This window comes from Homo sapiens, chromosome 9 (genome assembly GCF_000001405.40).
Source record: "Homo sapiens chromosome 9, GRCh38.p14 Primary Assembly".
NCBI classification, from domain to species: Eukaryota; Metazoa; Chordata; class Mammalia; order Primates; family Hominidae; genus Homo; species Homo sapiens.
Genome location: NC_000009.12, coordinates 132,901,977 through 132,927,517, shown reverse-complemented (window position 1 = coordinate 132,927,517; position 25,541 = coordinate 132,901,977). Strand labels below are relative to the sequence as shown.

Below are 25,541 nucleotides of genomic sequence, written 5' to 3'. Positions count from 1 at the left end.
ATAAAAATGACTTCATATGTTTTTATGCATATTTAGGCAAATAAGCTTGGAATATCTTATTATTAAATTAAGAAGGCAGAACTGTAATGCTGCACAAAACTTAGAATAGCATATAAAGAAACATTTTCTGGATTTTGTGACAGGAAGCTGTGTAAGGTAAATTTAGGATGTTAAGGGGAATAAGTATCATCCATTGCCCTTTTCTTGATTTAGACCGTGGCCCTATGCTTGTAAACACCTTGGTGGATTATTACCTGGAAACCAGCTCTCAGCCGGCATTGCACATCCTGACCACCTTGCAAGAGCCACATGACAAGGTAATGGCTGAAATATCATAGGCATTTCATATGTTCTTCATGAGTACAACAGCTTCTGTGCACGGCCACTGTGCAACTTGTCCTGAGCTTATTCTTTTGATTTCTGTGCGCCACTGATGACATTGTTCCCAGTTTATAACTACATATAAAAATTACTTTGTAGGACCCATGATTCTTGAAAAGTTTACAAAATAAAACATATTTCAGAGACTGTTAAAGATCTTGTTTGGGCCGGGTGTGGTGGCTCACGCCTGTAATCCCCTTAGGAGGCCGAGGCGGGTGGATTGCCTGAGGTCACGAGTTTGAGACCAGCCTGGCCAACACAGTGAAACCCCGTCTCTACTAAAAAATACAAAAAATTAGCTGGGCGTGGTGGTGGACACCTATAATCTCAGCTACTCAGGAAGCTGAGGCAGGAGAATCGCTTGAACCTGGGAGGCGGAGGTTGCAGTGACCTGAGATTGCACCATTGCACTCCAGGGCAACAAGAGTGAAACTGTCTCAAAAAAAAAAAAGATCTTGTTTAAAGAAATCTTACATTTCCAGTACTATAATTGTATAGTGATGATTTGGCCCATAGGTACCCATCTTTCAACCCATACTTTGAATAGAATTTTTAGACTTTTATCGATATGGAAAAGCTTCAAGTACAAAGGACTAACATGACAAATTAATGAGTCTTGTTTCCTAGCACCCGGCACTTGGAGGGCTCCTTCATGTTTTCCTTTTGTTTTTAGTAAGTAGCTAATAAAGCATTGTTATTGCAGACTTTGGTAAGTCTTAAGTGTATATATGAGAGCAACTTCCCCAGGATTTGAAGACCTTGTATTGCATGCCTTTTACAGTACATCTTGTTTTGTTTTGTTTTCTAAAGAGGTGAGGTCTCATTGTGTTCCCTAGACTGGAGCGTGGTGGCACAATCATAGCTCACTGTAACCTTGAACTCCTGGCCTCAAGCTATCCTCCTGCCTCAGCCTCCCAAAGTGCAGGGATTGCCGGCATGAGCCACTGCGCCTGGCCCGTCTTGTTTTTTTGTTTACTCTGGTCTGAAATGTAACTTCTACTACCTAATTGATACTTGAGGCCAAACCATGTAGGCTGGGTTGCTCTAGCAATAAGTGGCTGCTTCCAGCAGGATCCCCTCATGGCTTCAGTAACCTATCACAGTTTGGGACTGTTGGTTATTGAGGGGCTGTGAACAAGTCTCCCCCTTTCTGCATGCGTGTATTGTAGGGTCCTTTTTCATGAGCTGCAAACTGGCTGCCTTTTGTCAGGCCAAATGCAGCAGTGTTTTGTTTGCTAACGTGGTTTTTAAAATCTTGAATTTGACCTTTTATCTGCATGACCCTTGCTTTACATTAGAGACAAGACTTGAGAGATTGGAGCACATCATTGCTGTCTTTATTTGTGTTAACTTCATACATTCATGTGAGGACTGCCCTTGTTCTTTTACATTTTCAGCACCTCTTGGACAGGATTAACGAATATGTGGGCAAAGCCGCCACTCGTTTATCCATCCTCTCGTTACTGGGTCATGTCATAAGACTGCAGCCATCTTGGAAGCATAAGCTCTCTCAAGCACCTCTTTTGCCTTCTTTACTAAAATGTCTCAAGGTAGGATGTTTGTAAGGATTTGAATGAAATGGTTTTATGAGTATAGTTTCTGAAATTTTAGGCAACTTAAAGCAAGGAAGCTAGATTTTAACTTTTAGAGTTTAAAACCTTCTAGGCATTTGGCTTTTCTCAAATAGAATGTTGTCCAGAGTTGGTACTTAGTAAGTTCTCAAATACATCACTATGACTATTGAATACCTTGTCCATGCAAGTATGGAAAAATTTCGATCAGATGGGTTCAATGTTACATTATTCCAAACCTCTTGATTTCGTCATCGTTTAGCCTTCCCTCATTTAAAAACATCCTGGATTATCTTTTGGGAATCCCTGTTTCTAAATTATCTTTTAGCTAATAGAAAAATGGCTTAAAGTTTCTGTTAACCATTTAGGAGTATGGTCTGGTTGCAGCTATAATTAAGACTTTGTTGATGTAAATTCTACTAAGTTGCATTCTATTTTTTGCACTAAATTTAGTGCATTTTTCTATATAGGGAGTCAAAATCTAAATAGAACTTTATGGTTTTAGTTTTAACAGTGGCGTGCAGCCATACTCAGGGTTATTTGTTTAATCTGTTTTAGTTCCTGGACTTGTTTTCTATCTATAAAATAAGAAAATGTGGTTAATATTAACTGCCTGTACCTCACAGAGACATGAAAATATCCAATAGTATTTGTTCCAGGATGGCAGTACCATTGGATTCATCTGCTACAGCACCATGCAAATTGATTTTTGTGTCTGCCAAGAAGGGTAACTCTTTTATTATCCCTAGAGGTGGGTCCCAAGGAGTCACATTGGCAGGGTATTATAAAAACATGCATTTAATTCAGAAAAAATAGGAACAGTTTTAACAACTTAATGTTTTTTAAACAAATGGATTGATGAGAATATAATCTAATTAATGGATTGGTGAGAATATAATCTAAATGGATTGATGAGAATATAATCTAAATGGATTGGTGAGAATATAATCTAAATGGATTGATGAGAATATAATCTAATTTTGAGGCACATCATTTAGTTCAGATTGCAAAACACTTATCTTTTCCAAAAGAGTACGTTTTGTTAATCATGGATAAGTCTTCAGTTAGACTGTTAGGAAAATGAAATCAGGGCTAGTTCTTTCTGCTGAGAATCATTATATAGTCTCATATATTCTCAATTCTCCTACCAATATATTATTCTTACTGGATATCTTCCGTAATGAAAGGCTTGATGCTTGATGTAAAAATCAAAATATATTTAAAACTTTATTCCCAGACTCATAGATTCCTATTCTAATAGGAATAATGGATGTCTTAACCTACATAGTAGTCTTTTGATTAATATCTTGTTTCATAAATCTGAATTTCATCTACCTGGCAAACATTCATGATTTAATTATGGGTCAGGTGAGCTGCTGTAGCTAGCTAGTCAGAGCTGATTGAGTATCCATTGGGTGTTAAGTGTCTTCAGTTAGCCTGAAGTTATTTATTTGACTTAATATTTAAACTGTAGGCGTGCTGAAAGGTTTCCATATATATATATTTTAATTTACTGGTCTCTAAATACTGCTTTGAAGTGAGCCTTTAAGTTGACTTGTTAGTGCTATATGAATTTCTCCTTCAATTATACTTCTGTTGTAGTTCTTTAAAAAATAGTAAGTTACTTGTCAATGTGCAGTTTTTTTTTTTTTTAATTAACAAAAAGTAAGTATCTTAGGATTTGGTTGAATGAATGAAACAGAGCAGTGCTCCTGTGTTTTGTTGAAAAGCAGCTCCTTTTGTTTTCATCCAACTGCTATCAATAGGGCATCCTAAGGCTGCAGGACTTGGGTGTCCCCAAGTCAAGTTTGAACTCGTCTCCCGGATGCCTTTGCATAGGTGTGTTGTAAATGGTCCTCACTGACTCATTACAGTAGAGTTGGGGCTCAGTGTTCTGTTGAGTCTGTTTGAATGTTATCCCTTCAGTAATCCTTAGGGATAGGGAAATGAGTACGTGAGTCAACTTGTGATTTGTGATTCTCTCAGTGTTTAGAGCCTCTTCATGTACTGTACAATGCCGATCCTGGTGCCAGTGCCTGACAGACGTTTCCTGTTTGACCTTTTCTCCTGCAGATGGACACTGACGTCGTTGTCCTCACAACAGGCGTCTTGGTGTTGATAACCATGCTACCAATGATTCCACAGTCTGGGAAACAGCATCTTCTTGATTTCTTTGACATTTTTGGCCGTCTGTCATCATGGTGCCTGAAGAAACCAGGTACAGATCTCCTCATATACCTGTTGGGCCCTGTGAGGTGAATGCTTTCATTATTGATTAATTGCTCATATGCTGTAAGGAATGGACATGTAGACTTTTATAGCTGAAATGAGTGGTTTTCACCAGACAGATGAGGGAATATCTTGGGTGCATCCACTACAGGCACATAGAAGAAACATGACTGTTGAGATAACTTTTTTTATTTTCTTGGCTTAAAAGGATTAGTCGTCAGAGAAATTGAGTGGTAGGATGTAAAACTTTATGATTGTTGATAAACTGAAAAACAGCCTCCGTCTGTATTGCAGCAGTACAGGACTAAGCTTGTGGGACATTTCTGTCTTCCTTGGCTGCTCTGTTGTGACAGAACGCAAATGTCAGATTCTGAGAACCCACTCGTTGTACCTGTAGGAGTCAGAGGGAAATGCGGTGTGTCCTGATTAGCACTCCAGCTTCAAATGCAGTGGTTTTTTTTTTTCCCCTATCGGCAGGTAGCAGAGCTCTATCAAAGGGATCAGAAGCTGTAAGCATGTGAAATTTGGAATCTTTGGGTTATCCCAGTGTGAGGTATTTCTATCAAAAGGGTGAAGTATGTCAGACCTGTGAGACAGAACACCGTGCCTTCCTGTATAGGATTAAATTACAAGCATAGGCCCACGTGGTGCCTGCTTGTTTAGTAGGACCTTTGTGAAAAAGGAATGGTCTGTCCATTATTTTGGAGGACCTTTATGTATACTGTGGCCGTGGGTTTCCACAGGGTCTAGGTAAGGCTAAATTAAGATGTTCAATTTCTTTCACTCTTAGTTCTTTAAGCTAATTTCTAGATAATAGTTTTTTTCACTCTGTAGTTATAAATCTGCATAGCTAAGACTACATACTGATTTAAAAGAGTCTCACACATTCATTCTGTAAATATTGAGTGCTTGTTAAATATCAGGTCCAGTGCAAAGCACCGAGAAATAAGTAAGACAGTTTTTTTCTCAAGAAGCTCGTACTGAATTCGGCAATGGAAAAGTATAAATTTTACAGAGAGCTATCATCATAAAGATAGTTCAGTATTGTGAGAATGTTTGGGATCCTTTTTGGGCAGTGGCTGAAGAGGAGGGCAGAAGTTAGATCAGGAAGAGCCTTCATGGATCATACTAGTAGACTGGAATTTATCCAAAACTTATAGGGAGCCATTGATGGATTTGAAATAAGGGTGTCTGGTGTGTTCGGATTTGTTTGCATTTTAGAAAACCACTCTTCCTGTCTTTGGAGTGAGGTGGGAATATACATAGATAAAAAGTCCTGCTGGCAGCCACTTGTTTATAGCTGTTTTGCACTCCTCAATCTGTCTCCAACTAAGAGGCTCTTCTCAACGGGTTCCTTTTCTAGGCCACGTGGCGGAAGTCTATCTCGTCCATCTCCATGCCAGTGTGTACGCACTCTTTCATCGCCTTTATGGAATGTACCCTTGCAACTTCGTCTCCTTTTTGCGTTCTCATTACAGTATGAAAGAAAACCTGGAGACTTTTGAAGAAGTGGTCAAGGTAAATTGAAACTGCTTGTTTGTTTGCTACTTAGTATACTGTTTAGATAGGCTGCATTTATACCTTTTGTATTTAACGGCAGACAGGGAAATTTTGAAAAGAAATTCAGTTTTCTTCCTCGCCACTCCAATCCCTAGGCAGCCACTAATCTGTTTTCTGTCTTAATAGATTTGCCTATTCTGGACATTTTGTATAAATGGGATCATATAATATGTGGTCTTTTGTGACTGGCTTCTTTCACTCAGTATAATGTTCTCAAGGTTCCATCTGTGTTATAACATGTATCAGTACTTCATTCCTTTTAATTGTCAACTAATATTCCATCATTTGGATGTTCCACAAACATTCAGCCCTTTATAATTTGTCAACCCAACTCTTCTAGCCAATGATGGAGCATGTGCGAATTCATCCGGAATTAGTGACTGGATCCAAGGACCATGAACTGGACCCTCGAAGGTATAGAAACTAGTGTCAAAATTTTAAAGAATCTTTCGAGAGATTGAAAATGTGATCTAGGAGGTAATCCCTGTTGAGGTATATTTGGGAATATAGATGTTCTACTTACAGAATCAGTCCACTTGGAAGCACTCATACAGCTAAAATTTGTGTGAGTTTAAAACATACTCTTCACAGGCGGAGGACTAATAACATTTAGCAGAGTGGAGAAAGTTGCAGCACAAGTGCCTGTCCCCCAGAAAGGCTTACACCTCAGTAGTGCCAGTGATGGGGCGATGCAGGAGGTGAAGCATATGGCTAAAAACAAGGGGACTGCAGAAAAACAATTTAGCATATATATAAATCTGGCTTTGCAAAATGGAGAAAGGACTTCAGGGAGTCCTATATTAAGTATTTGGAGTCCCTGAGGTCCTTTCTCCATTCTGCAAAGCCAGTTGACTATACCATCCTCCCCAGGGCCCTACAGAGGCCCCCAGGTATGTTCTCTGGAAAAACCGAACCTTTGAGTCCCTTGATTGAAGGATTCCAGGCACAGTGGAGAGTGGAACTGAGGGTAAGACTGAGCGAGGGAGATAAAGGAAATTTACAGACTGAGCTGTGGGAGGCCCAGCTCCTTCCCTCTGCTTGTCTCTGCCTGGTAGCCAGGCTTATTATGCTCCCCAGTTAGGGGAGCTGGCCCTTTTTGGGGAAACTGACCCATGGATACTGACACTTAGGGATCTCCTGCTGAAAAAGCTAGCTCACTGCCTGATCCCCCAACAGCGAATCTCACCTCACCACAGACACTGCCTCTACCACACAGAGCCTCAGCCAGCTTAAAGCAGTTTATTGTGAGATTATATGTAGAGAAGTATAGAAAATGTGTATGTAAAGTTTAATAATAACACAAAAACACATGTAGCTGGCACCTAGCTTAAAAAAAACAGAACATTACTGGTACCTTAGAGGCTCCCCGTGGAGAACCCCTCTTTTCTCCCTACTACCTCAGAGACAACTACCATTGTTGCTTTTAATCATTCTCTTGCTTTTCTTTGTAGTTTTACTGTAGGTATTGCTTTGTTTTGAAAAGCTAGTTGACTAGGAGGCAAAGCCTGGTTAAGAGAAGGGCAGTCTTGTCACTAGTAGTTGAAGGTTTCCAGGAGATGAGAGGAGGACCAGCGCATCTGAGTCTTGGTGTGGTTTCACTGTCCCTGAGGTTTCACAGCCCCTTCTGGGAAGTCAGTGCACAAGGTCATGAATGAGTCTGGGAAACACAAGGCTTACCCTCATCAGAGCGTCTGGCAAGGCTTCTAGCAAGGGCAAGGCACTGGACATGCGTGAAATATGGCAGGCAGGGAAGCTGCTCTCTGCGCCTGCTTTCAGCTCTCAGGAATAGGTCAGACAGAATCCTTCTGTGGGATAAAATGAATGTCCTCTGCTGATCAGACAGAGGAGGGAGAGTAGGAATTTCATCAGTATGTAGTTAAGACAAGCTAAGTACAGACAAGTTATACAGGCCAGGGTCACCTGGCTCTGTCCCTCATTAAAAAGATAGTGCAGGACAGCAGGAACTTTGAGACATGCCTGTCTCTTGGCAGCTGCTGTTCTGATCCGAACTGGTTCTCGTCTGTGCCTAGTACCCAGCTGTCATCCTAGTCTCCTGGGGCTTTCCTTCGCCTCTCTCCTGTGCAGGATCTCCCATTTCCTGTATCTTGTCTTCTTTCTTGGTTTACTCTTGTTTAATAGGACATAGCCTCTAGGAGCTTTTTGAGGAAGGATGCAGTGTTTTGGCTGGTGTAGACTTACAGGTTGAGAGTCGGTAATTTGAAGGCATTCAGTAATTTGAAGGCATTATTCCATTGCCACCCTGCTTCCAATGTTGCTCTTAGAATTTCTGATCATCTGTATTTGCTGTGTTTTTCTCTAGGGGAGCTGGTAGGGAGTTCTCTTTGTTGTCATAATATTCTGAAATTTCCAGTGATGTATGTTGGTATGAATCTATTCTCATTGTTCAAGCTGGAAGCTCTTCAAGTTCTATGATATTTTCTTTAGTTGTTTTGTGCTTGATTTCCTGTTTTCTCTGTCTTTCCTTCTAGAAATCCAGTTCATCCCTGCACCACATAATGACATTTCAGTCAATGATGGGCTCCATAGATGATAGTGGTTCTGCGAGATTATACCACCACATCTTTACCGTACCTTTCCTAGGTTCAGATATGTCTAGATACACAAATACCTACTGTTGTTACAGTTACTGCAGTCTTTAGTACAGTACCATGCTGTGCAGGTTTGTAGCCTAGGAGCCTATAACATCTAGTTTTGTATGAGTACACTCTGATGTTCACACAACAAAGAAATTGCCTAATGATGCATTTCTCAGAACATGTCACTGTCATTAAGTGACACATGACTGTATACTTATACAAGGAGTTTTCTTTTCCCTGCATAATCTGTTTCTTCTAAGCTTCCTTCTTTTCGGTTTTGTGTTATTCTTTTTAAATCTTTGAGGCCTTCTGCCAGGATCTAGTAAACTGTTTATATATGGGGAGACAAAACAGCTTTGTTCACAGTGGTGGGACTTGTTGACTTTGAGCTTTGTTGTATGTTGAACTGAGCATCTGTTGGAAATAGTGGTGTCGGTATTGTTTTCTTCTTGAGCTGGTCATGTTTTTTAGAAAGTAGTCTTCTGATTTTCAGGCTGGTAGGGGTCTGACTACCTCTGGGGGGAAAGAGGCTGGTGGTGAGGAAGGGTTGGTGGTCTGGGCATTCAGAATGTATATGCTTCACTTAATCCCCTCATTTGGAATGGCACTCATGCCCTCAACTACTTCTGGAATACTTTATCCAGGTACTCCTTGTTTTATTCTCTATAGAGAATAATCCAGGTTTCTGGTGAGAAAAGAGCTGTTGCTTGGGAGTGTAGAGTTGGGGCAGGACCCAGGGGTTGTGACTGCTCCTCCAGTGGTTTTCACTCTGTCTTCAGTATTTTAGCTCCCCTTGTCTACCTGCTGCTCATCTCCTGTTCCAGAAGTACCAGATGCTATAAGTTCCTCATGATTTTAAGGATTCTGTAGTATAATCAGTTGACTCTTCACTTTGAGACAGTGGCAGCTTAGGATTCTGCTTTTGTGGATTTGCAGTGTCAGTTACCACCTGCCTGTCTGTTTTTTAGTTTCAAAAACTTATGGTTCTATTCCCTCTCTCCTGTTCTCCTCCTTGTGGGTTTATATTTAAAAACAAAGAAGTCTTTACTGTAGACAGTGGGATTCCAGGAGGTTGTACAGTTGAGTGCATATGTTCAACCAACTATATTAACTTGGAAGGCTCCTCAGTCAGCTTATAGAGAGCCTCACTCACCTTGGCTGGGCAGATTGTTTGGCTTTGGAAGAAGGTTTTAACAGTAAAGACAGACACCAACATTAAGAGGAGAAAAGAGAGCTAGAACAAAACCATAATGATAGAGCAGAAGAAAATATCTACCATAGCCACAGAGATAAGATGTTTGTGCATATGTAAGCATCAGGATGCCACAGAAAAAGACCATTTTGAGACTAAAAGAACTCTTCAAAATTAAAAATGATAGCCAAAATAAACATTTCAGTAAAAGAATTGGGAGATACTTTTCTGAGATATAGGTAAATAGAAAGCAGAACCAAAGGATAGAGCTTGGTAATATGAGCAGAACAGAGATTTAGAATGATCAGTTCAGGAAGTCCCAGCATCCAATTAAAAAAAATTTTTTTTTAAAGAAGAGCCGGGTGCAGTGGCTCACGCCTGTAATCCTAGCACTTTGGGAGGCGGACGGGGGAGGATCTCTTGAGGTCAGGAGTTCGAGACCAGCCTGGCCAACATGGTGAAACCTCCTCTCTACTAAAACTGCAAAAAATTAGTCGGGCATGGTGGTGGGTGCCTGTAATCCCAGCTACTTGGGAGGCTGAGGCAGGAGAATCGTTTGAACCCAGGAGGCAGAGGTTGCAGTGAGCCGAGATCGTGCTACTGCACGCCAGCCTGGGTGACAGAGCGAGAATCCATCTCAGAAAAAGAGAGAGAAGAAAACTTTGGTGGAGGAAGAAATTGTGAAAGAAATAATACAACAAAAAAAAAATCCTAGGATTGAAGGATATGAGTTTCCAGATTGAAGGGGCTTACCTGGTGCCCAGCTAAATCAATAAAAAAGAATGCCACCAGGTCTCAATATTGTAAAAGTTTATAGTACCAGGGATTAACCTTTCAGAGAAAGAAAAAAATGAAATCACATTAATAAGGATTAGAAATCAGAATGCTGTTAGCTTCTGAAATACCTTCAAAATTGAGAGAAAAAGGTTTTCAACTAGAATTCTATAGCCAGCCAACTTGTCTATCAAATATGAGACACTTTCAGATATGCATGGACTCAAATTTCCTTCCCATATGTCCTTCCTCAGTTAATCACTGGAGCATGTATTCCACCAAAATGAGAGTAAAATCATGAAGGAGGAAGACCGAATCCAGGAGACTGGGGCCTGATCATGACCGTTTTACAGGACCATGTCCAGGGAAAGTGTCAGGATAACAGGCAGTGCTGAGAGCAGCCAGTCCAATCTGAAGCCAGGGAGAGAGTGCTCCAGAAGGGAGCTCTTCTGGAAGATGAGGAATAATCCTGGTGGATTCTTTGCATTTCATTAGTAAAAGTTATATTAGGCATTGTTTCAGAGCTGTTAGAATACATTTAGGAAAAATTAGCAATAGACACACAAAAAAGTGAGGAAGAGAAACAGAACAATTAAAACTTACAAGAAAGGAAATATTATCATAGTATACTCTGTGGCTCAGCCATGAGTAGTACTTAGGTAGTCATAATGTTGAAATCAATTTTGAAAACAACAAAAACAGTTACATATTTATTTTGAGAGCATTGAGGAGGAGGGAAAGGATATATGGAAGAGTCCTCAATCCTCACTTCCCATTAATAGTAAGTTAATAGATGGTGTCTATAATTTATAAATCAAGAAATTAAAAGCACAGGGCATATTCTTTAGAACTATAGAGGCAGGATAACAATTCAGCTAACAGAATTGGAAGCAGCTGCCAGAGTGGTTGCAGTGGGGAGGGATGGGAGGAACCTTTAGTACCGTATTGACTTTTTAAACTACCATATTTCATTGGATCTCAGATGCCGTTAGATGTGTGCTGTACTTCTATTTTATATACATCTGAGAAAGAAAAAAATGCCAAGTAAACTAACATGCATTTGATTAGACGATGGTTCCCAGTTTTAGATATTAAAATATGAAAAGTCCTTTTAAGAAGCAGGGAAATACTGTAAGTGCATAAATTACTTTGATTAAAATAAAACATTTAAATGTATTCCTCTTTTATTATGATTCTCATTTTCTCCTCTAAAATCAATCTTCTTGTGTGTACACATGTGTCCTAACGCCTGCTCTCAATCACTTTCTAGTCATGCTGAGAATGCATAAATAGGAGCCTATCCCCATTAACAGGATCCCACAGGCAGTGAGAACCCAGGTAGTGAATGAAGGGGCAGCCCTGAAATCGAAAGGCTCGCTCTTCAGGGAAGCTGCCTTATATTCTCCCCATGCCCTGGACACTTTCTTTTCTGTATTTAATACCGTGTTTTCAGCATCTAAGATATAATGAGCTTCCTACAACAGTTGAGTAGGATCACATGCTTTGTTAAGGTAAACCTATGGAGTGCCCTTAGTGTTGCTGTGCTGTTTTCTGTAAACTTGGAAAAAAAATGCAAATCTCTGATGGAGTTACTAACCACCTTAGAAACACATAGAGCAAAGTTATGTTGTCTAAAGGAAAATAGTTTATGCTTGACTAGGCGTTTAATTTTAAATATTCTGTTCATTATTAGGGCCTTTATAGAATGTTTGGTAAATACTGAAGAGTTGAAAGAATAAATGAACATTGTTCGTAACTTCACTTCTTTTCATTTGAATACTTACTACAGTCAGATATATTTGCGGGTGTGTCTCTGAATAGCTTTGTGTCTTTTTTTCTTTTAAGATTATATTATAAGCGTTTTATGTCATCTAATGTTTGAAAGCATTATTATTTTTTTGCGGCACAGTCTTGCTATGTTGCCCAAGCTGATCTCGAACTCCTGGGCTCAAGTGATCCTCCTGCTTCAGCCTCCCCGGTGGCTGAGAGTACAGGCACGTGGAAAGCATGATTTTTTTTTTTTCTTCCTGAGACAGGGTCTTGCTCTGTTGCCCAGGCTGGAGTGCAGTGGTACAGCATGGCTCATGGCAGCCTCAACCTCCCAGGGTCAAGCTATCCTCCCACGTCAGCCTCCTGAGTGGCTGGACCATGAGCACATGCCACCACGCCCAGCTATTTTGTTGTTGTTGTTGTTGTTGTAGAGATGGGGTGTGGTCTCACTTTGTTGCCCAGGCTGGTCTTGAACCCCTGGCCTCAAGTGATCTCCTGCCTTGGCCTCCCATAGTGCTGGGATTACAGGTGTGAGCCACCATGCCCAGCTGAAAGCATGATTTTCTTTTCTCTTTTTTTCAGAGTCTAGCCCTGTAGCTCAGGCTGGAGTGCAGTGGTGCTTTCCTGGCTCTCTGCAACCTCCGCCTTCCAGGTTCAAGTGATTCTCGAGTCTTAGCCACTCAAGTAGCTGGGATTACAGGTGCATGCCACCATGCCTGGCTAATTTTTTTTTTTTTTTTGTATTTTTTTTTTAAGATGGGGTTTTGCCATGTTGCCCATGCTGGTCTCGAACTTGGCCTCAAGTAATCCGCCTGCCTTGGCCACCCAAAATGCTGAGATTACAGGTACGAGCCACCACACCCAGCCTTAAGCATGATTTTTTAAATCAACTTTGGTATGGTATAATTTGCTTACAATAAAATTAATCAATTTTGCTAAGTTTTGACAAAAATCCCAATCATAATAAAGAACACTTCCATCATCCCAAAAGTTCCTTTGTGTCTCTTCCCCCACTTCTGGCAACCATCGATCTGCTAAAAGCATGCTTTTTCAGGGGGTGTAATAATAGTTATTCTATAAAATATATCCCTTTGGTTGAACTTTGGGTTATTTCCTTTCTTCTTTCCATTACAAGCTGTGCTGTGCTGAACATTGTTGTATGTCTGTTTCTATAGGATAAATTCTTAGAAGTGAAACCATGGATCACATAACAGGAATCTTTAGACAGTTTTAAAAATATTCTTGGCCGGGTACAGTGGCTCACGCCTGTAATCCCAGCACTTTGGGAGGCTAAGGCAGGTGGATCACCTGAGGTCAGGAGTTCAAGACCAGCCTGGCAAACATGGTGAAACCCCATCTCTACTAAAAATACAAAAAATTGGCTGGGGATGGTGGCGGGCACCTGGAATCCCAGCTACTCGGGAGACTGAGGCAGGAGAATTGCTTGAATCCAGAAGGTGGAGGTTGCAGTGAGTCGAGATTGCGCCACTGAACTCCAGCCTGGGTGACAGAGTGAGACTCTGTCTAAAAAAAAAAAAAAAAAAAAAAAAAACAAAACAAAACAAAAAACCCATGGGAGGCTGGCACATTGGCTCACTTTTTTTTTTTTTTTTTTTTTGAGACGGAGTCTCGCTCTATCGCCCAGGCTGGAGTGCAGTGGCGTAATCTCGGCTCACTGCAAATTCCGCCTCCTGGGTTCACGCCATTCTCCTGCCTCAGCCTCCTGAGTAGCTGGGACTACAGGCGCCCGCCACCGCGCCCAGCTAATTTTTTGTATTTTTAGTAGAAACGGGGGTTCACCATGTTAGCCAGGATGGTCTCAATCTCTCGACCTTGTGATCCGTCCGCCTCAGCCTCCCAAAGTGCTGGGATTACAGGCTCACTTCTGTATGTACGTCAAGACATACAACAGTGTTCAGCACAGCACAGCTTGTAATGGAAAGAAGAAATAACCCAAAGTTCAACCAAAGGGTTATATTCTATAGAATAACTATTATTACACCCCCTGAAAAAGCATGCTTTTAGCAGATCGATAGTTGCAAGAAGTGGGGGAAGAGACTCACCACAAAGGGCACAAAGGAACTTTTGGGGTGATGGACATGTTCTTTATTATGATCGGGACTTTTGTCAAAACTTAGCAAGATTGACTAATTTTATTGTAAGCAAATTATGCCATACTAACACGTTGATTTAAAAAATCATGCCTTCAGCTGGGCATGGTCATGGCTTATGCCTGTAATCCCAGCACTTTGGGAGGCCAAGGTGGGAGGATCATTTGAGGCCAGTAAGTTCGAGACCAGCATGAGCAACAAAGTGAGACCCCATTTCTGTAAGAATATTAGCCAGGCACGGTGGCACGTGCCTGTAGTCCCAGCTACTTGGGAGGCTGTGGCAGGAGGATCCCTGAGCCTAGGAGTTGGAGGTAGCAGTGAGCCACGATCATGCCACTGTCCTCCAGCCTGGGTGATAGAGTGAGACCCCATCTCAAGAAAAAAAAAAAAAGAAAAAAATTCTCATGGACTTTCTTTAGTTTGTCTTTTTATACTCTGTTTCTGGTCCAGGGATGGATTTGACACCTGAGGCCTTGATAGGAGACCTTAAGTCAGCCTCAGCTGCTTGGCAGTCTCCAGGTCTCCCTATTTTTTGATGACCTTTGTTCCAAAGGACATTTTTCCCTGCCTGCTGCTCTGCTGCATAGCTTATGTTTCATTTTTCCATTTTGAGGCTACACCTAGTCTTTTGTTGAGGAAATATTTGTTTCAGATTAGCTTGTAAACTTGATATAACCATTTTAAACAGGGAAGGTATAGGATTGTAAAATGAATGGCTATTTCTTTATGTACTAGAATTGTTTCAGACTTGGGCTGGCATGGTCCCGCTTGTTCTTTGCTATCAGAGTTCCGTGGCTGGCACTGAGTTGACACTCTGAAGTATTTAATTCAGTTGATTACAGTTTGCATTTCTTGACTTTCATTGCATTTTACAGGTGGAAGAGATTAGAAACTCATGATGTTGTGATCGAGTGTGCCAAAATCTCTCTGGATCCCACAGAAGCCTCATATGAAGATGGCTATTCTGTGTCTCACCAAATCTCAGCCCGCTTTCCTCATCGTTCAGCCGATGTCACCACCAGCCCTTATGCTGACACACAGAATAGCTATGGTAAAAAGTGTCTTTGGTACTTATCTGTTTTGCAACTTTGTCTCTGGAAAACATTATTTGTCTTTGTTGATTTTCTTTTCTGGAGTAAGACTTAGTTCAGTTCCTAGGGATTTTTCCCAAAATATCTTAAATTTGCATGTCCCTCCATTTTCTTCTAATTAATTTCTCCTTCAAGTTTAATTTAGATGTCCTTGGTCTGCTACCTGATTGTATGCCAACAGAGTTGGTGACGTGTCTCCAACACTTAAGAAAGAAAATGGGTTTAAGTATTTGACTTCCAGACTCTACCTCATAAGGGAATCTTTCTGATTTTCAGACATTTAGAGTGAGGCTCTTGTGTCTGTAGCACTGACACAGTTTGAATGAGTCGGAACAATTTAGAATTGGATTCATATAAAAATCTAGGCTTTATTTGTGGGTTGCAGCCACTGAAGTTGTCATCTGTATTGTGCTTTTTTAAGTTATCTTGAGGCTTAATGAGACATCAAACCTTATTGAACTTTATTTCAAAGGAGCATTTAGAGAAACTCTGAAGTGTTACTTTGTCCCCAAGGATGTCAGTTAAGTCCCTCAGATTTTTTAGGTACAGAGAATTGAATATTATCAAATGGTCTAGAGGACCATCTTTTTTTTTTTTTTTTTTTTTTTTTTTTTTTAACCAGAATAACCTAAAACCACACACTAACCCCCTGTGTTCTTCTCTTCCATTTTAGGGTGTGCTACTTCTACCCCTTACTCCACGTCTCGGCTGATGTTGTTAAATATGCCAGGGCAGCTACCTCAGACTCTGAGTTCCCCATCGACACGGCTGATAACTGAACCACCACAAGTATGGTGTCAACTAGTGTGCCTGCTCTCTCCTCTGCTTTCTGGTGAAGCTGACCCTTTGGGTCAGATTTAGTATGTGGTTGGGAAAATTTCACACTGCTCATTTCAGGAGTCACTTTTAAGGATCCATGATATTAGCAAAGAAAGTTACTGTTGCCTCTTAGATTCATCTTGAAGTCTTGATTTACAAAATGCAACTTGTTTCTTGATACGCTTTTAATAAGATGCCTTTTTCTAGATGAAAAAGCTAAATTTAAGCTGAACACTGGCCATGGATATAAACCTCGTGGATGACTTAGCATTCCTTTGCCACTGCTGATGTACTTTATTAACTTCCCAGGCTACTCTTTGGAGCCCATCTATGGTTTGTGGTATGACCACTCCTCCAACTTCTCCTGGAAATGTCCCACCTGATCTGTCACACCCTTACAGTAAAGTCTTTGGTACAACTGGTATGTATGTCTTAGGTTGGATTTGATTAGTTGGTTTTGGCCTGCCTTTAATGGCAGGAGGAGCTCTCTTTTAGATCTAAGGGACCACTTGCTGTTGTAAACTTGTTTTTGACACTTATTGCAAATCCCTGGGGCTTTCAGAATGTGTAAAGTGAACCTAAAAACAAAAAAGAGAGAGACTGATCTAGATCCCCAGAAAGTTAACTCTAGCAGCTTTATTTATAGTAATAGTTATAGGCTGAAAAAAAATCGGCAGTTTTTCTAATAGTTGGGCTCAGTGTTCATATATGTTCTGCCCTTGTCTCTAAGCAGGTGGAAAAGGAACTCCTCTGGGAACCCCAGCAACCTCTCCTCCTCCAGCCCCACTCTGTCATTCGGATGACTACGTGCACATTTCACTCCCCCAGGCCACAGTCACACCCCCCAGGAAGGTGCGATCCAGCTCGTCTGCTATCCCTCTGCCCAGGCACAGTGACTCACTTGCAAGCCTCACTTTGAGAAGCCTAATTATGCCAGATAGAATTCTGACCTAAAATGCAATGGGTTTGAATCAGAATAATTGAAAATGGACTAACAAGCTGCTCTCAAGGTGTGATCTGCCGACCCCTGGGTGGTTCCAAAACTCTGCTTTGGCAGAACTCTTGTGGGGAACCCAGCAGGTCAAACCTACTCTCTTGATTTTTTTTTTTTTTTTTTTTTTGGAGACAGGGTCTTGCTCTGTCGCCCAGGGTGGAGTGCAGTGGCACGATCATGGCTCACTGCAGCCTTGACCTCCCAGACTCATGCAATCCTCCTGCATCAGCCTCGCTAGTAGCTGGGACTACAGGCATGTGCCATGATGCCTGGCTAAGTTTTTTTTTTTTTTGGTGGAGATGAGGTCTCACTATGTTGCCCAGGCTAGTCTTAAACTCCTGGACTCAAACGATCCTCCTACCTGGGCCTCCCAAAATCCTGGGATTACAGGTTTGAGCCACCACACCTGACCAAACCCACCTTCATAGTAACACTAAGCTGTCATTTGCCCTTCCCACTGCATTGGCATCTGCAATGATGGCACAAATACGACGGGGGGTGAAATGGTGGCAACTTAGCCTGAATCAAGGCAGGCATTGAAGTGTCCTATCCCAAGAGGCCTTGCATTCTTCCCTGACATCTTCTCTCCATTAAAAACAATAAAAACTAAAAAATTTTAAAAGTTGAGTGTTCTGTATTAAGCAGTAACCATTATTAATTTTATTAAATCTTAGCCCTTGAGAACATGTATGTGTAATATTCTTCGTGGCAAAATAGAAAATATGCATAAGGCACATGTACTGCATACCAGGGTATGATGGTGACCTCTGGCCCTCATGCAGTTATTTGAATTGAGAGGTGAAGTAGCTGCCTTTTTTCATGGAATGCCAGTTTTATTTGAAAGAACTGCTGTCTTACAAACTGGTTATTCAGACTTGGGTGTTTGGCAGGCAGCTTCTCAAATGATGAGCTGAGTCTGTCACTTCAAGATAAACAACTGACAGTATTTGTTGCCAACAATAAAAGTCAACTCTCAGGTGGAAATCAAGATATTAAAAAACGTGTATATACTACCATGAACTTGATAGCTGCCCCAGGACTTTTATGATGAGACCGAAAAGTCTGTGGAAGCTTAGTTAGTAATTTGAGTTTTTGATATTGTATAATGAAGTGTTTCAACATTTGGAATATTTGAATAGCTTGAGGAGCCAATATTTTCAGAGTGTCCAATGTATGATACGTTGCAGAATCATGCATAGGTAAAAAGTACATTCAAAGTACAAAGCAGGCTGGGCGCAGTGGCTTACACCTGTAACCCAGCACTTTGGGAGGCTGAAGCAGGTGGATCACTTGAGGTCAGCAGTTGAAGACCAGCCTGGCCTACATGTTGAAACACCATCTCTACTAAATATAGACATTAGCCGGGTATGGTGGCAGGCACCTGTAATCCCAGCTACTTGGGAGGCTGAGGCGGGAGAATCACTTGAACCCAGGAGGCGGAGGTTGCAGTAAGTCGAGATCACACCACTGCATTCCAGCCCCAGCCTGGGCAACAGGGCAAGACTGTCACAAAAAAAAAAAAAAAAAGTGCAAGGTAGACTAGTGGGTTTTAACACAGGAAAAGCTCATTGATGTGGTTTCAAATTTCACTTTGTAACTTTAAGAAACTAACACTTATCAAATTTTGGTGTAATAACAAAGATGATTATTTGAAAAGTCTGTCAACATACGTTTACTTTTTGCGGCTGGGCGTGGTGGCTTGCTTCTGTATCCAGCACTCTGGGAGTCCAAGGGAGGTAGATTGCTTGAGCCCAGGCGTTCAAGACCAGCCTGGGCAACATGCAAAACCCCATCTCAACTAAAAAAAAAAAAAAAGCCAGGTGTGGTGATGTGCATCTGTAGTCCCAGCTAATCGGGGAGCTGATGGAGAACGGCTTGAGCCCAGGAGGCAGAGATTGCAGTGAGCCATGATCACGCCACTGCATTCCAGCCTAGGTGACAGAGCCAGACCCTGTCTCAAAAAGAAAAACAACAACACATATGTTTACTTTTGCAATTACATATCTGTGGGGCCCCAGATTTTCTTTATACACTTCAGTCAAAATAACATATTGCAACAGACTGAATGTAGAGGTAGATATGAGAATCCAGCTGTCTTTCATGAAGCCATATATTAAAGAGATGGCAAAAATGTTCCATTCTTCTCACTAAATTTATTTTTATTTCGGGAAATATAGTTTTTTAATAAGAATATGTAATTTACATTAACTTGTAATGGGCTTGCTATTTTTAAGGGAATTAATATTTTAAAAATTTCCTGGTTTTCTAATATAATAATTATGCCTCGTAAAAGCTCTTGGGATTCTCCAACTTTCTCATTATTATTATTATTTTGTGTGTGTGAGACAGGGTCTCACTCTGTCGCCCAGGCTGGAGTGCAGTGGCACAATTGCAGCTCTCTGCAGCCTTGACCTCCCTGGCTCAGGTGGTCCTCCCACCTCAGCCTCCTGGGTAGTTGGGACTACAAGCACCAGTCACCATGCCCGGCTACTTTTTAAATTTTTTGTAGAGATGGGGTTTTGCCATGTTCCCCAGGCTAGTCTCAAACTGCTGAGCTCAAGGGATCCACTGGCCTTGGCCTCCCAAAGTGCTGGGACTACAGGCGTGGGCCACCACGCCCAGTCTGCAGCCATTTTTTAAGACTATAAAGAAAGCTGCTGGGCGTGGTCCCAGCACTTTGGGAGGCCGAGGCAGGCAGATCATCTGAGGTTGGGAGTTCGTGACCAGCCTGACCAATGTGGAGAAACCCCGTCTGTACTAAAAATACAAAAATTAGCCAGGCGTGGTGGTGCATTTCTGTAATCCCAGCTACTCTGGAGGCTGAGGCAGGAGAATCGCTTGAACCCAGGAGGCGGAGGTTGCAGTGAGCCGAGATTGTGCCATTGCACTCCAGCCTGGGCAACAAGAGCGAAACTCCACCTCAAAAAAAAAGAAAAGAAAACATCCCAACAATTTGAGAATCACTGCACTCGGCTGACCTTTAAACTACTTTACAATATGCTCGAGAACATGTGCAACATTTTTCGTCTTGTGATATAAATGATACTTATCTTTTCAGGAAGAGAGAATGGATTCTGCAAGACCATGTCTACACAGACAACACCATCTTCTGAATGACAGAGGATCAGGTAAAATTTCTGCGTTACTACAGGCCTTGCTTGCCTCTTCTAATTGGGTTATATGTGTTTAAGAAAAGAAAGTTAAATGGAAACAAGGAAATTCTGGGATATCCAAAATACTGAGGCCTAAACATAATGAAACGAGTAGTGAATTCTAAACACCAACCTAATAATATCAAAAACAGTTTTTAAGCTATTGCAGTGAAGTACCTGTATTCTGACTTGACTATATCTCTTTTCAGAGACATTAAGAACTGAGAATTTTATTTGCTATGGGATTATTTTTGGTACTTTTAGTTATATTATTTTTAATATTTCAGTCTTTTGTAGTATCCCCAGGACAGAGCCATGTCCAGCCTTCTCTGTTCAGCATGAAGAGTTATTACAGACATATTCTATACAGTGTAAGCAGTTTTACACTTACAGGGATTACACTGTATTTCTTTGACTTCAGTTGTCTTTGTTTCTCTTCAGAAGAGCCACCTGGCAGCAAAGGTTCTGTCACTCTAAGTGATCTTCCAGGGTTTTTAGGTGATCTGGCCTCTGAAGAAGATAGTATTGAAAAAGATAAAGAAGAAGGTAATGTATGTGGGATTGCTATGAGTTGATAAAACCTGACCCTCGCTCTGCTATAAATCTGGGATTTTGTGCCATTGCTCACAGGCTTGCTGGATTTTTCTTCTCTTGAGGTAACAAGATGGGTGGTTTAGTCTGGGACCTATGCCAGGTAAAGTGATGCCACTTTTTTTTTTTTTTTTTTTGAGACAGGGTCTTGCTCTGTCACCCTGGCTGGAGTGCAGTGGTACGATCATGGCTCACTGCAGCCTTGACCTCCCAGGCTCAAGCAATCCGCCCACCTCAGCCTCCTGAGTAGCTGGGACCACAGGCATACACCACGATGCTCAGCTGATTTTTATTGTATTTTTTGTAGAGATGGGATCTCCCTATGTTGTCCAGGCTGGTCTCTAACTCCTGGGCTCAAGTGATCCTCCCTCCTCAGCCTCCCAAAGTTCTGGCATTACAGGCGTGAGCCACTGTGTCCAGCCGGATGCCACTTTTTCTCCTCTCTCTGAGTGACACTGGCATGTGGCAGCATGCCACCCAAACTGCCTAGTCTTTCCCAGGTGGAATACCGACTGCCATTTCTTTTGTTTCCTCTCTTCCTCTCAGCTGCAATATCTAGAGAACTTTCTGAGATCACCACAGCAGAGGCAGAGCCTGTGGTTCCTCGAGGAGGCTTTGACTCTCCCTTTTACCGAGACAGTCTCCCAGGTTCTCAGCGGAAGACCCACTCGGCAGCCTCCAGTTCTCAGGGCGCCAGCGTGAACCCTGAGCCTTTACACTCCTCCCTGGACAAGCTTGGGCCTGACACACCAAAGCAAGCCTTTACTCCCATAGACCTGCCCTGCGGCAGTGCTGATGAAAGCCCTGCGGGAGACAGGGAATGCCAGACTTCTTTGGAGACCAGTATCTTCACTCCCAGTCCTTGTAAAATTCCACCTCCGACGAGAGTGGGCTTTGGAAGCGGGCAGCCTCCCCCGTATGATCATCTTTTTGAGGTGGCATTGCCAAAGACAGCCCATCATTTTGTCATCAGGAAGACTGAGGAGCTGTTAAAGAAAGCAAAAGGAAACACAGAGGAAGATGGTGTGCCCTCTACCTCCCCAATGGAAGTGCTGGACAGACTGATACAGCAGGGAGCAGACGCGCACAGCAAGGAGCTGAACAAGTAAGGGACTGGGGCACTCTCTTCTGTGTTAAATGGTCCATTTTATTGTGAAGTACAGAAAGTGTAAGAGAGGAACAAGAATCATTCTTCACACTCCCACCTTGAGGCAGCTGGTTCTCTGCTGTTTGTCAGATGTCCTTCTAGGCTGTTGCATCTTCATATATGTGACCATGTGTGACCTCTGTGCACCTAAATTGGGATGATTCCTTAGCAGTCCATTTCAAAATGAGTCTTTTTATATAGGCCATTTTATGCCTCTGTTCTATGAGGACACTCAAATGCTTTCATATGTGCCCTCTGCAAGCTGTAGGCTGAAAATGAGGTTATGGTATTTCAAAGAATATAAGAATATTTGTCACAGTGTTTCCCTCTCTAGCTACAGATTATTATTATTATTTTCTATTTTGGTATCATAGTTCATTAGGTGGAGATAAAATCATCAGCATTTTATGCAAGTTCAGATGGCCTGACATCCCCTCCAGACCCCCTGAGGCACCCAAGTTTTCATAGAAAGGACTCTAGCTGAGAAACGGTTTCCCATCCGTCTTTTATTAGCTACTTTACAGGTGCTTGGGGAATATTTTTATTTTTCTTCTTATATACTATGCTATGGTGGAATTTGACAGGGATTATAGTATTTAAGCTCCCTCTTTTTAAACGAGATTTGGTATGATAGGCTTAGGTAAATTACCTACTTTTTCCTTAAATCGGAGTGACATAGCTTTACAACAGAGTGTACTCCCTGTATATTTCAACAGACAGGGTTGAAAACGGCTCTCAGTGTGTTTGACTACTCAGTTTCTCTGGAGAGCTGGCCCCAGAAACGGAGGCCACGGTGTATGCAGTGCAGCTCAGCCTGCAACCCTCTCCGCTCTGGATTTGTTTTTTAAAGGACTGTGTTAAGCTAACAACACAGGTCCTAGGCAGTGGGGCGAGGGCCGCCTCCCATTGTGTCCAGTGTAGGCTTCTCCTCTAACTCTCTGTGGACCTGGAGTTTGAAACATTCTTATGCCATTGCAGATTTTGACCACAAGGAAGTGATCTAACTTTGCTGCAAATAAAAGTCCAGATACGTTTTTTTCTTGGTAAGATCGGTAACTTTGTTACTCAAAAACTTTCTTCCTAGGTTGCCTTTACCCAGCAAGTCTGTCGACTGGACCCACTTTGGAGGTAAAGTTGTTACTTTAGCTCCAAATCCAGCCCACATGGTTCCTGCTTGCTTGTTGCCCTTTCTGTCCTTGAAGGAGGTGCCCTCTGGGAAACAGATCTCCCCTTGGCTATTGCTCCGGCCAGGCTATCTGCTTGGCTAAAGGATCTCAAGTGTTGCCAAGTCAGCATTTCTTATTTTTGAAAAGTGGCAAGTACTATGCGCTTGAGAGTATAAGTGCAAAATACAGACTTCCTGCCAGGCTTCCCTGGAGAAGACCAGAGTGAAGCATCTTCCTGGGGGAGAACACACAGCGAAGGAAGTGTCTTGAGAAACAGGGCATCTGAAATGCGTGATCTAGATTTGTGGGGAAAGGAAAGCAGGCTCTCAAAGAGTCATCCCACATGATATGACCTTTTGCATTCCTTCACGGGGGAGACACATAGTCCATACTTTCCCCCCTGCTGTTGCTGGGAGTCAAGTGGTCATTTGCAAAGAGAGTGGTGATTTGTTTTTAAAGAATTGTGTTTGTTAAGCTAACAACACATGGGAAGGGGGCTTGATTGAACCATCTGTAAAAGGCATTTCTGCCACCCTCCCTCTGCTTTACAATCAGGCTCTCCTCCTTCAGATGAGATCCGCACCCTCCGAGACCAGTTGCTTTTACTGCACAACCAGTTACTCTATGAGCGTTTTAAGAGGCAGCAGCATGCCCTCCGGAACAGGCGGCTCCTCCGCAAGGTGATCAAAGCAGCAGCTCTGGAGGAACATAATGCTGCCATGGTGAGGACTGGGGAGGGGACAGGTGGAGCTTGCTTTTTGTTTTGTTTTGGGTCAGCATGATAGCTTATAAAGCACAGCAGCCGAGGAGGTCAGAGTTCCCAGTCCTTCCCACTCCTTTGGGCAGGTCGCTTGAGATTAAGACATGAATGGTGACACCTCGGAATTCCCTCATAATTCTCAGAAACCGTGGGGACAAGTGATTTTGTGTGTGTATGTTTGCATGTAACTGGCCATGATGATGAAGGGTCAGAAGATGATTTTATTTCTCCAAATGTAAAACCAACTCTTGTAAAGCTATTTCATGGCACAAAACTGAAGCGTGTATTGTACAGCGGGTGTGAAGCCAGTCAGGCCTGGAGTTTGAATCTTGGCTCTACCAGTGTTACCTTAGAAAAGTAACGTGGCCTCTTGAAGCCTCTGTTAGCCATGCTATAAAATGGAAATAACAATAGCAGCACCTGCTCTTTAAGTTGTGATGGTTAAAAGAAATTATGTCGGTAAGCCCTTGCTGAGCGCCCAGCACACTGCAAGCATTCAGTAAATGCTCATCGTTTCAGTGAACTTAGTACCATGTTTGAGAGATTTTATTCCAGTGTTGGTAGTCAGACTTTTGAAAGTATTGGAAGCAAACTGATCCCTGAGAAGATTTATTTAAGCAACTTAAGATCCATTTGCTTAATGTAAAATTTGGAAAACCTTGACCTAAGGCCAAGTAAGACAGTAGTGAGCTCTAAGAGTTTTGGTCTGTAGTTAGTTACATTTTCAGGGTAGCTTATGACTATTCAGATGAAATGTTCGCAGTGTGTGTTAAATTGCCTGTGTTGGAAGACAGCTAAAATGATGACATTTCTGGTCTCTGCTAGAAAGATCAGTTGAAGTTACAAGAGAAGGACATCCAGATGTGGAAGGTTAGTCTGCAGAAAGAACAAGCTAGATACAATCAGCTCCAGGAGCAGCGTGACACTATGGTAACCAAGCTCCACAGCCAGATCAGACAGCTGCAGCATGACCGAGAGGAATTCTACAACCAGAGCCAGGAATTACAGGTATAAACTGCAGCACCAGGCAAAGCCAACTGCGAGAATGCCGGAGAGCAGTGGGGAGGGAGGCAGTCAGTTTCCCTGGGTGTCCTTGACTTGTTCAGCTTTACTAAGCTGAATGCTTTTCTCTCTGAAATCATGGCAGAAATTCTTCATGGCAGGTGAATCTTACTTAGGACAGAGGTTCCCCAACTTTGTTGGTTCATATAGTAGCTCCCTTAGTGTCTCAGTCATTTTTTTTTCTGCAGCCAAAAGGAAACAGTTAACAGTTCTGCTCATTAAGTAGATCTGAATAACTTAGTGAGTACGAATGTCCTAAGAACTTAGTAGCTGTTCACAGATAATACACATAAATTAATTTTTAAAAAAATAATTGCAATTACTAATGCCTCGTGTGCACCTATTGGGCACTGCATGGTATCTCAGACCTTGAAATCAGAGTGGACAGTGACACCCTCATTTCCTGTTCCACACTGGTTTTCCTTGTGGTGCTTTGTATCACTGCACCCAAAAAAACCCGGCTTCACAAAGACGTCATCCACAGACACAGCATCATTTCCAGCCAGTTAGTAATTCACAGAGTGTCCAACAGATGGCGCTGCGTCTCCCTCGAAAATTCAGAATCTTTCTGCAG

General features: G+C 42.1%; 1 protein-coding gene across 49 annotated transcripts in view, besides 1 other annotated feature; it reads left to right on the top strand.

The window, feature by feature from the left end:
- Positions 1 to 25,541, top strand: part of TSC1 (TSC complex subunit 1) — a 54,030-nt gene that overhangs the window by 17,861 nt on the left and 10,628 nt on the right. For 11 of the 49 annotated variants that reach the window (NR_176215.1, XM_011518979.3, NM_001406606.1 and 8 more), the window contains 15 exons: positions 214 to 317; positions 1,779 to 1,931; positions 4,026 to 4,170; positions 5,545 to 5,699; positions 6,082 to 6,155; positions 15,061 to 15,236; positions 15,950 to 16,065; positions 16,405 to 16,516; positions 16,826 to 16,947; positions 20,148 to 20,217; positions 20,683 to 20,787; positions 21,379 to 21,937; positions 23,064 to 23,107; positions 23,701 to 23,867; positions 24,731 to 24,913. Coding sequence is in view for 44 of the 49 variants with exons in the window: in XM_011518979.3 (XP_011517281.1) it covers positions 214 to 317; positions 1,779 to 1,931; positions 4,026 to 4,170; positions 5,545 to 5,699; positions 6,082 to 6,155; positions 15,061 to 15,236; positions 15,950 to 16,065; positions 16,405 to 16,516; positions 16,826 to 16,947; positions 20,148 to 20,217; positions 20,683 to 20,787; positions 21,379 to 21,937; positions 23,064 to 23,107; positions 23,701 to 23,867; positions 24,731 to 24,913 (2,285 nt within the window). In the remaining 5 variants the exon portion in view is untranslated. Of the gene's footprint in view, positions 1 to 213; positions 318 to 1,778; positions 1,932 to 2,578; positions 2,704 to 4,025; positions 4,171 to 5,544; positions 5,700 to 6,081; positions 6,156 to 15,060; positions 15,237 to 15,949; positions 16,109 to 16,404; positions 16,517 to 16,825; positions 16,948 to 20,147; positions 20,218 to 20,682; positions 20,788 to 21,378; positions 21,938 to 23,063; positions 23,108 to 23,700; positions 23,868 to 24,730; positions 24,914 to 25,541 lie in introns of all 49 variants that reach the window. The other 38 variants (NR_176217.1, NM_001406609.1, NM_001406597.1 and 35 more) reach the window with 17 other exon arrangements.
- Positions 23,280 to 23,964: an enhancer, noted in NCBI's record as "OCT4-NANOG hESC enhancer chr9:135778941-135779625 (GRCh37/hg19 assembly coordinates)". NCBI's record gives its function as "activates a minimal SCP1, AML or CMV promoter by ChIP-STARR-seq in primed H9 embryonic stem cells {active_cell/tissue: H9 hESC(primed)}" and the evidence as "EXISTENCE:reporter gene assay evidence [ECO:0000049][PMID:30033119]".